Consider the following 12,008-nt stretch of genomic DNA (forward strand, 5'->3'; position numbering starts at 1 on the left):
AGAAGTCTGCTCATAGTTAAAGAAATAGCAACACCAATTACACGTAATCTCCAGAAAACAGAAGAAGGGGCATTTCCAGACTGACGAGGCCAGTACAGTTGACCCTTATAACTGCAGGTTCCCCATCCATGGATTCGGCCAACCACAGATCGAAAATATTCCAAAATATGGACTCTAGGCACGGTGGCTCACACCTGTAATCCCGAGAATCACTTGAACCCAGGAGGCGGAGGTTGCAGTGAGCCGAGATCACGCCACTGCACCACTGCACCACTGCACCGCTGCACTCCAGCCTGGATGACAAGAGTGAAACTCCGTCTCAAAAAGAAAAAAATCACTCTGGGTGGGCATGGTGGCTCACACCTGTAATCTCAACATTGTGGGAGGCCAATGAGAAAGAATTGCTTGAGCCCAAGAGTTTGAGACCAGCCTGGGCAAATAGCAAGACCCTGTCTCTACAAAAAAATTTAAAAATTAGCTGGGCATGGTGGTGCTTCTCTACTGTAATCCCAGGTACTTGGGAGGCTGAGATGGGAGGATCACATGAGCCCAGGAGTTCCAGGCTGCAGTGATCTATGATTGCAACACTGTACTCCAGCCTCGGGAACACAGCGAGATCCTGTCTCAAAAACAAACAAAAAAACAAAAACAGGAAAAAACTCAATTCTGAAAACTTTGCCTTAACTTGTAGTCTAGAGTTGAAGACCCCTCCGCTAAGCTCTGGTGAGAGGCTAACTGAATAAGAACACTTTGACCATCATATTATAATAATTGCTTTCTCTCTTTCTTTCCCTCTCTCTCTCTTTTTTCTCCCCTCCCTCCCTTCCTTCCTTCCTTCCTCCCTCCCTCCCTCCCCCCGCCCCTCTCTCTTTCTTTCTTTCATCTTGCTCTGTCCCCCAGGCTGGAGTGCAGTGGCATGATCACAATTCACTGCAACCTCAACCTCCCAGGCTCAAGACATTCTCCACCCCAGCCTCCTTGGTAGCTGGGACTACAGGCATGCACCATCACACCCGGCTAATTTTATAATTGTTTTTCTGTTTTTTGTTTTGTTTTGTTTTGTTTTTTTGAGACAGAGTCTCGCTCGGTTGCACAGGTTGGAGTGCAGTGGCACAATCTCGGCTCACTGCAAGCTCCGCCTCCTGGATTCACACCATTCTCCTGCCTCAGCCTCCTGAGAAGCCGGGACTACTAATTTTTTGTATTTTTAGTAGAGATGGGTTTCACCATGTTAGCCAGGATGCTCTCGATCTCCTGACCTCGTGATCCGCCCACCTCAGCCTCCAAAGTGCTGGGATTACAGGCAAGAGTCACCGCACCCTGCGAATTTTATACATTTTTTATAAAGAGGGGCATTGGCCAGGCACCCTGGCTTACGCCTGTAATCCCAGCACTTTGGGAGGCCGAGGCAGGTGAATCACCTAAGGTCAGGAGTTCCAGACCAGCCTGGACAACATGGTGAAACCCCATTTCTACTAAAAATACAAAAATTAGCTGGGCATGGCGCCACATGCCTATAATCCCAGCTACTCAGGAGGCTGTGGCAGGAGAATCGCTTGAATTCAGGAGGCAGTTGCAGTGAGCCGAGATCGTGCGGTTGCACTCCAGTCTGCGAAACGAGAAAAACTTTGTCTCAAAAAAGTAAATAAATAAAAAATAATAAAATAAAGAGGGGTGTCTTGTCATGTTGCCTAAGCTAGTCTAGTATTTCTGGGCTCAAGTGATCTACCCGCCTCAGCCTCCCAAAGTGCTGGGATTACAGGCATGAGAGTCACTGTGCCTGGCCAGAGCTGGGCTACATATCTCTATTAAGCTTTTCATCAGGGTCAACTGGGCCCTGGCTCCTGCCCCACCCATCCTATAAGGCTGCAGTGTGTATGGCCCCAATAAAGATTCTTCCCCGAACCCCCTACCCCCGGATCTTCCTGCAAGGTTGGCAGAGCTGGATGCTCTGAAAGCTAAGGGCATGTGGGCCAACCAGCGCCTGGCCAGAGAAGGGGAGGAAAACATGTGAGGGCTCACAGGTCTGGAGTCTAGCGCCTGACTGAACACAGAACAGCCACCCCTGCGTGCAGTTGCAGGGCGAAGAAGGTCAGCTCTTGCCCCCTTCTCAACCCTCCTCCCAAACACCAAGCAGGTTTCTGAGAATAGTAAAAGGCCAGCAGACCCATCTTCAGGGCCCCTGTGATCAGAAATGTGCAAATACCTTTTTCTTTTTTCTAATTTTTTTTGAGACTGAGTCTCACTCTGTCGCCCAGGCTGTATTACAGTGGTGTGATCTCTGCTCACTGCAACCTCCGCCTCCTGGGTTCCAGCGATTCTCCTGCCTCAGCCTCCCAAATAGCTGGGATTACAGGCACCCATCATCATGCCAGGCTAATTCTTGTATTTTTAGTAGAGACGAAGTTTTGCCATGTTGGCCAGGTTGGTCTCGAACTTTTGACCTCAAGTGATCCACCTGCCTCAGCCTCCCAAAGTGCTGGGATTACAGGTGTGAGCCACTGCGCCTGGCCCAAAGACCTTTTTCTTCATGCCTTTGGGAGTTAATTAAGCACCAGTATCTAAAAAGCTGTTTCTGCATCCCACACTCAGAGTGAATGGCAGAAACAGAGTCCAGGAATGCACAAGGCTGGGATTCAGATTCAGCAAGTTCTGGGATAGAAAAACTGAACCTAAAGGAAAATTGTATTGTGCACTCACCAGTACTTTGAAAGAGTGTTTCAGTACATTATAAAAAGAGGCTGGGCGTGGTGGCTCATGCCTGTAATCCCAGCACTTTGGGAGGCTGAGGCAGGAGGATTGTTTGAGGCCAGGAGCTGGAGACCAGCCTAGGAAACATGAAGAGACCCCATCTCTACAAAAAATATAAAAATTAGCCAGGCATGGTGGTGCATGCCTGTGGTCCCAGCTACTCTGGAGGCTGAGATGGGAGAATCCCTTGAATCCAGGAGGTCAAGGCTGCAGTAAACTATGATTGTACAACTGCCCTCCAAACTGATCAACAGAACAAGACCCTGTGTCAAAAATAAAAATAAAAAGACATGAGCTAGCTGACTTTTTTTTTTGAGATGGAGTTTCACTCTTGTTGCCCAGGCTGGAGTGTAATGGCATGATCTCCACCTGTCGAGTTCAAGCGATTCTCCTGCCTCAGCCTCCTGAGTAGCTGGGATTACAGGCATGCATCATGACACCCGGCTAATTTTGTATTTTTAGTAGAGACGGGGTTTCTCCATGTTGGTCAGGCTGGTCTCGAACTCCCGACCTCAGGTGATCTGTCTGCCTTGGCCTCTCAAATTGCTGGGATTACAGGCACCCACCACCACACCTGGCTAATTTTTGTATTTTTTTAGTAGATTCAGGGTTTCACCATGTTCGTCAGGCTGGCGTTGATCTCCTGACCTCAGGTGATCCGCCCACCGCAGTCTCCCAAAGTGCTGGGATTACAGGCGTGAGCCACTGTGCCTGGCCAAGGGGGCTGATATTCTTAAAACCAAATATTTAAAAAATGTAAATATGTTAATAGAATATTCTTGAATGTTCCCAACTGTAGTTCCCAACTACAGAGCCAGTCCTCTACCTTCTAGTGAAAGCTTCCGGTGGACAAGAAAAGCTTGGGAAAGCCAGAAGGAATAGGAAGCACAGCTCATGGTGGTCTGTGGCTTCATCAATAAAAAGGACAATTCTTTTTTTTTTTTTTTTAAGAGATAAGGTCTCACTCCATCGCCCAGGCTGGTGTGCAGTGACCCAATCACAGCTCACTGCAGCCTTGACCTCCTGGGCTCAAGCAATCCTCCCAGCTCCTCCTGAGTAGCTGGGACCACAGGTGCACACCACCATGCCTTGCTAACTTTTATTTTTACTTTTTTAAATTTTTTGAGATGCAGTCTTGCTCTGTCACCCACGCTGGAGTGCAATGGCATGATCTCAGTCCACTGCAACCTCCGCCTCCCGAGTTCAAGTGATCCTTCTGCCTCAGCCTCCCAAGTAGCTGGAATTACAGGCACATGCCACCAGGCCCTGCTAATTTTTGTATTTTTGTATTTTTGTAGAGACAGGGTTTCACCATGTTGGCCAGGCTGGTCTTGAACTCCTGATCTCAGGTGATCTGCCCGCCTCAGCCTCCCAAAGTGCTAGGATTACAGGTGGGAGTCACCGCACCCAGACCCTTGCTAATTTTTAAACTTTTTGTAGAGATAGAGTCTCACTATGTTGCCCAGGCTGGTCTCAAGCTCTTGGCCTCAAGCAGTCCTCCCACCTCAGCCTCCCAAAGTGCTGGGATTACAGGCATGAGCCACCATGCCCAGCCCCAGAAGGGCAATTATTACACAGTGACAGTGGAAGGAACAGAGACATAGTCGGTGGGTGGTGGGAAGATAAGAATATTCACTCTGGGCTGGGCGCGGTCCACGCCTGTAATCACAGCACTTTGGGAGGCCAAGGTGGGTGGATCACGAGGTCAGGAGATTGAGACCATCCTGGCTAACACAGTGAAATCCCGTCTCTACTAAAAATACAAAAAATTAGCCGGGCGTGGTGGCGGGCGCCTGTAGTTCCAGCTACTAGGGAGGCTGAGGCAGGAGAATGGCATGAACCCAGGAGGCAGAGCTTGGAGTGAGATTGCACCACTGCACTCCAGCCTGGGCGACAGAGAAAGACTTTGTCTCAAAAAAGAGAAAAAAAAAAAGAACATTCACTCTGATGTCTTCTAATAACGTTAGAGAAGTGAGCTTCAGCTGAGCAGAAGAGAGGGAGGGAAGGAAGCACAGGAGGTTTGAGGAGAGAGAGAGGAAGTATGAAATCACTGTTGCAAACCTCCTGGGGGAATGTAAAGGGGTTGCCAGGCAGCCTACTTGAAGTCTGTGAATTTAAAGTGAAAGTCTGTCCAGGCCGAGAGCACTGGCTTACTCCTGTAATCCCAGCACTTTGAGAGGCCAAGGTAGGTGGATCACCTGAGGCCGGGAATTTGAGACCAGCCTGACCAACATGGTGAAACCCCATCTCTACTTAAAATATAAAAGCTGGCCAGGCATGTTTGTGGGCACCTGTGATCCCAGCTACTCAGAAGGCTGAGGTGGGAGAATCGCTTGAACCCAGGAGGCAGAGATTGCAGTGAGCCGAGATCGCTCCACTGCGCTCCAGCCTGGGCAGTACAGCCAGACATGGTGGCTCACACCTGTAATCCCGGCACATTGAGGGGTTGAGGTGAGGAGGATTGCTTAAGGCCAGGAGTTCAACAGCAGCCTGGGCAACATGATGAGACCTCATCTCTACAGAAAATTAGAAAGTCAGCTGGGCATGGTGTGGTGCACGTCTGTGATCCCAGCTCCCAGGGAGGCTGAGGTGGGAGGATCGCTTGAGCCCAGGAGGTGGAGGCTCCAGCGAGCTCTGATCACACCACTGCACTCCAGCCTGTGTGACAGAGTGAGAAGCTGTCTCTAAAATAAATAAACAAATGAATAAATAGATGAATAAATAAAGTAAAAGTTTAGCTGAGTGTGTGCTTTCCCAGTGATGCTTGGCTGTCCAGGTGCAGACGCAAGACATCTAGCCCGTTCATGTCACCCTTGTTGAGGGGAACAATGTCAGGAGAGAGAGAGACAAAGGAATTGATTTTTTTTTTTTTGAGACGGAGTCTCCCTCTGTCGCCCAGGCTGGAGTGCAGTGGTGTGATCTCAGCTCACTGCAACCTCTACCTCACGGATTCAAGTGATTCTCCTGCCTCAGCCTCCCCAGTAGCTGGGATTACAGGTGCCCACCGCCACACCTGGCTAATTTTTGTATTTTCAGTAGAGATGGGTGTTTCGCCATGTTGGCCAGGCTGGTCTCAAACTCCTGACCTCAAGTGATCCATCCGCTTCGGCCTCCCAAAGTGCTGGGATTACAGGTGTGAACCACCTCGCCCTGCAGGAGTTGATTTTAATTATGAACGATGATTAAGGAAGGCAGTGGACACAGAGAGAGTGACAGTGAGGTTACGAGGCCAAGTGGAGAGTTCTGGAACGAGAGAGGAGAGGTCAGTGGGGAGCTGTCTGAAGTCTCCTTTCTGGGTGATGGAGGGTCCCAGGTGTGACCGCAGGCAGGGAGAGGTGGCTGAGAGGCACACTGGAAAAGGTCACTGGAGCTGCAGCAGTCCTGGTGCCCAGAGAGACAGGGAGTAGCCTGGCCTGTCCACGTGGGTGACATCACCCTCGGGGAGTAGCCTGGCCTGTCCACGTGGGTGATGACGCCCTCAGGGAGTAGCCTGGCATGTCCACGTGGGTGACGACGCCAACGTCTTGTATGAAATCACTGTTGCAAACCTCCTGGGGGATGTAGAGGGGATGCCAGGCAGCAACCCCTCTAACGAGATGACAAGAATGATGGAGAACACTGTCAACAGAAAGCCCAAGTCCTCAGTGGATGAGGAGGTGTAAGGGGAAGACCAGCAGACAGCAGTCACCGAGAGGGACAGCAGGTGACTCTGCTGCCTTTGGAAGAGAAATGTCTTGGACGCAACCACAGGAAGCATGGAGGATATAGACCCTACTTTAGATTCTGCAGTACGTGGGGTATAGGAGAAAAAAAAGACTCCCTGCTCCAGATGGTGCCAGCGGAATTGGGGTCCTGAGGGGCCAGTGGGGTCGGAGGGAGGGGACCCTCTTGCAAGAGGCTGAGTGGCGGCTCCAGAGCCGATGATGTCATCAGAGGAGCTGGGGCAGGATGAGGGGTGAGGAGGAGGGTCCAGTCATATTAGGCAATGCACAGATCCGGGGGAAGGGCCCATGGCACAGAGGCTCTGTCCTTTGAGGGTCACTGAACCAACAGGGGAAGGTGAGGCATGATGAAAATAGCCGTGGATGTCCAGCCGCAGTGGCTTACACCTGTCATCCCAGCACTTTGGGAGGCCAAGGAGGGTGGATCACCTGAGGTCAGGAGTTCAAGACTAGCCTGGCCAACATGGGGAAGCCCCGTCTCTACTAAAAATACAAAAATTAGCTGGGCACGATGGTGGGCACCTGTAATCCCAGCTACCTGGGAGGCTGAGGCAGGAGAATCATTTGAACCCAGGAGGCAGTGGTTGCAGTGAGCCGAGAGCGTGCCACAGCACTCCAGCCTGGGCAACAAGAGCGAAACTCTGTCGGGAAGGGGAGAAGAGGGGAGGGGAGAGGAGGGGAGAAGGAAGGAAGGATAGAAGGAAAGATGGAAAGAAGGAAGGAAGGGAGTGAGAGAGAGAGAGAAAAGAAAGGAAGAAAGAGAGAAGAAAGAAAGAGAAAGAAAGAAAAAGAAAGGAAGAAAAAAGAAAAAAGAAAGAGAAGAAAGGAAAGAAGGGAGAAAGAAAGAAGAAAGAAAGAAAGAAAGAAAGAAAGAAAGAAAGAAAGAAAGAAAGAAAGAAAGAAAGAAGGAAAGAAAAGAAAAAGAAAATAACTGGATGACCTCGGACGGCTGCAGGTGACATTTCAAGCTGTGAGTTTGAAGAGTGTGGATGCTCCAGGCAACTGTTGGGTAACTCCGCCCTCTGGTGGCCATATATGGCTAAAGCGAGTACAAGTCCAAACTCACACCTGGAGGACAGGTGCCATCGCCTGAAAGCAACAGTAACCACGACAACAAGGCCAGGTGCAGAACCCAGGTCTCCCCTCATTATTAGAACCTGTGGAGAGATCATGAACGTATTCCCCGACAAGTTCATTTTCAGGGGTAAAAAAGCTCAACAATCTCCCACAGTGTCACTTCTCCCAGGAATATGTGTATGTTGCCCTTGACAAACTGTTGCCCTTGACGAAGAAATGTACCAATTTCCAATGGCAGTATATTTAATTGAGGAAAGATCTCATTAACAGATGTAAGTGCAGGGTCTCAGCATCAGAATTTCCCTTCAGTGTTTTATTATAAAAACGTTTGGGGTGTGGGGCTTACACCTGTAATCCTAACACTTTGGGAGGCCGAGGTGGGAGGATCACTTGAGGACAAGAGTTTGAGACCAGCCTGGGTAATTAGCCAAATGCAGTGGAGCACACTTGTAGTTTCAGCTTGGGAGGCTGAGAAGGGAGCATCCCTTGAGCCCAGGAGTTGAGGCTGCAGTGAGCTAGGATCACATCACTGCACTCCAGCCCGGGAAACAGAGCAAGACCCTGTCTCTAAAAAATAAATGAATTAACACTTTTAAGAAATGTTCAAACTTAATGAAAAGTTGAAAGAATTTTGCAGTGAACATCCATACCCACCCCTGAAGTCTACAATTAACATTTCATTATGCTCAGTTTATCATATAATCTATTCAACTATCCATCCCTCAAACCATCCTATTTGGAGGCATTTCAAAATGAATTGTGGCATTAGTACATTTCACCCCTAAACACTTCAGCACACATAACAAGACTCTCATATTTATTTATAGTCCTTTTTTCTTTGGACATGAAATACGCATATAGGTCAGGCGCTGTGGCTCAAGCCTGTAATCCCAGCACTTTGGGAGGCCGAGGTGGGTGGATCCCTTGAGCTCAGGAGTTCAAGATCAGCCTGGGAAATATGGTGAAACCCCGTTTCTACTAAAAATACAAAAATTAGCTGGGTATGGTGGCACATGCCTGTAATCCCAGCTACTCGGGAGGCTGTGGTGGGAGAATCACTTGAACCCGGGAGGCAGAGGTTGAAGTGAGCTGAGATGGGCTGAAATCTGCTTCCTGGGAACACTTATCTTGTTGATTCAGCACCATGCACCACATGAAGTGAGTTCTGATTACTCTTCCTTATGAAAGCTCTTAAACTGTCCAAAGATGGCCATTCTGTCCCTTTGAGTCACTTCATCTGATACAGAATCTCCAGTTTCTCTACCTGTTCATGCCCAGGCAAAGCTTCCAGCACTCAGCACTTCACTGGCTAGGCTTTCATGTTTGCAAGGGTGCTGACGCATCTCATCTTTCTATGTCAGTGGAAGAAAATAGACGGTTCAGACCTGGCCTGCTCTGGGTGGATATGATTGGATGGCCAGGACAGGAAGCCAGGACCTGGAAGGAGAGCAAACAAAATGAGTTTTTCAAAAAGCTAGATGACAGTGGAACCATGCAGAGATCAAAAACGGTGCAACAGGAAACTAGGAAAGCAGAAAACAGAAATAGTGTAATTTTGTAACATTAACAGGGGTAAGTAACATGACATTAGCGATATTTCACAGGGGATATTGGTCAGTGCCTGCAGCAAAATGTTTGAATGCCTTTTAATTGCAAAATTAATGCTTGCATACGTTTTCTTTGTTAAAAAATGAAAACAATTCAGGTAAGTCTAAAATGTCCCTGGTCCCTTCTGTCCTTCCTTCCCTACCCAATTCCAGAAGTGTGTGTATGAGCAGGTGCATGGGTGAGCATTTGCGTGTGTGTGTGTATATATATGTGTGTGCATATATATCTATGCACATATATGTGTATGTATACACATATATGTATATATGATGTACACATGTATACATACATGTGTATATGCATGTATATATACACATGTATACATGCACCTGTGTATATATGCATATACATATATGTACACATACATATACGTGCACATACACATGCATATGTGTACATAAATATATGTAGGTATGCATAGATAAGTGTGCATATACATATGTGCAAATACATATCTATATAAACATATCTACGTACACATACATATCTATGTACACATATCTATGTATACATATATTTATGTATATATACATACATGTATATATATATGTGTGTATGCATATATATATAGAGAGAGAGAATGAAAGAGAGAGAATAGAGAGAGATTTATTGTAAGGAATTGGTAAGGAATAGGTATATATACATAGGTTTATGTATATATACATATGTGTATATATCTATATATATTTATGTGTGTGTATATATATATATAGAGAGAGAGAGAGAGAGGGGGACAGAAAGAGAGAGAGAAGAGAGAGAGATTTATTGTAAGGGATTGGGTCACACAATTGTGGAAGCTGGCAAGTCCAAAATATGCAGGCAGGGTAACTCCAGCCATCAGTGTGGAGACCCAGGGAAGAAGTGATGTTGCACCCTGAGTCCAAAGAAAGCCTGGAGATGTAATTCCTTCTTCCTTGGGGGAGGTCAGCCTTATTTCTTTTAAGGCCTTCAACTGATTAAGTGAGGCCCATCCCACTACGGAGAGTAATCTGTTTTATTCAAAGTACACTGATCTAAATGTTAATCTTACCTAAATAATACCTTTACAAAAACATCTAAGATAGTATTCGGCCATGGCCTAGCCATGCGATATGTAAAATTAACTGTCGCAATATGGAATGCATATAAACATTCCTATATAATTAAAATATGCTATATTTTGTGTGCATTATTTAAATGTTATTATAGCGTACGACCTGCTTTTATCACTCAAAGCTATGATTAGAGTTCTTTCTTTAATAGGAAATAAAGGAATACCTCATTCTTTCTCAATGTTATGCTTAGAGGTATTTCCTTAAGAAGAAATAAAGGAATACTTCATTCTCGCTTTCTACATAGTATTCTGTTCTATGGCTATATCCTGATTTATTTAGCCATTACTCTAAAAATTGGCATTATATTATTCCCAGCTGGTGAGCTGCTTGATCATGAATTCAAGCAAACTTCTTGAATTCTTTTAAAATGGCGGTCGATATTCTGTTCCTGGGCAGGTGCAGTGGCTCATGCCTATAATCCCAGCACTTTGGGAGGCCAAGGTGTAAGGCTCTCTTTAGGCCAGGAGTTTGAGACCGGACTAGGCAATGTGGTGAAATCCTGTTACTACAAAAAATACAAAAATTAGCTGGGCATGGTGGCATGCATCTGTAGTCCCAGCTACTTGGAGGCTGAGGTTGGAGGATTGCTTGAGCTGAAGAGGTGAAGGCTGCAGTGAGCCATGTTCAGTGCACTGCACTTCAGCTTGGACACTGGAGTGAGAGAAAGGAAGGAAGGAAGGAAAGAAAGAAAGAAAGAAAGAAAGAACGAAGGAAGGAAGGAAAGGAAGGAAGGGAAGGAAGGAAGGGAAGGAAGGGGAAGAAAGAAAGATGAAAGAGAGAAAGAGAAAGAAAGAAAGAGAGAAAAAGAAAGATTTTCTTTTTCTAGTCTGGGTGACAGAGCAAGAATCTTTCTCAAAAAAAAAAAAAAAAAAAAAAAAAGTCTCTCAGAGTTAGCTTGGCCCAACAGCCCAGGAATAATTAAGGGAAAGGCAAGATGGGGTGTGGGTTAGCTCACATCTCTTTCACTGTCATAATTTTCTCACTGATAGAATTTTCAGAAGCAGTTTCAGAATTGTCAGAGAAATACAGCTAAGCCAAAAACATATGAACATATATATGTTCAATGAAACTGTTAAATGCAAATTGAAAAGAATGATAGACCACAGACATCTTTCAATGTGCCAAATGTTTTTAAGTGTATTATGTTACAGGAAAGGGGTCCCAATCCAGACCCCAAGAGAGGGTTCTTAGATCTCATGCAAGAATTCAGGGCAAGTCCATATATTAAAGTGAAAGCAAGTGTATTAGGAAAGTAAAGGAATAAAAGAATGACTACTCCATAGATGGAGCATCCTTGAGGGCTGATGGTTGCCTATTTTTATGGTTATTTCTTGATTATATGCTAACCAAGGGGTGAATTATTCATGCCTCTCCTTTCTAGACCAAATAGGGTAACTTCCTGACATTACCCTGACATTTGTAAGCTGTCATGGCGCTGGTGGGAGGGTAGCAGTGAGGACGACCAGAGGTCACTCTGGTGGCCATCTTGATTTTGGTGGGATTTGGCTGGCTTCTTTACCACAAACTGTTTTATAAGCAAGGTCTTTATGACCTGTATTCTGTGTTGACCTCCTGTTTTATCCTGCGACTTAGAATGTCTTAACTGTCTGGGAGTGCAGCCCAGTAGGTCTCAGCCTCATTTTACCCAGCTCCTATTTAAAATGGAGTTGCTCTGGTTTAAATGCCTCTGACAATAATGCTGGCAAAATGACAGTGAGGTCACACTTGCACACCGCTCCTGGGAGTTCATACTTCA

This window comes from Homo sapiens, chromosome 7, assembly GCF_000001405.40.
Source record: "Homo sapiens chromosome 7, GRCh38.p14 Primary Assembly".
Lineage (NCBI taxonomy): Eukaryota > Metazoa > Chordata > Mammalia > Primates > Hominidae > Homo > Homo sapiens.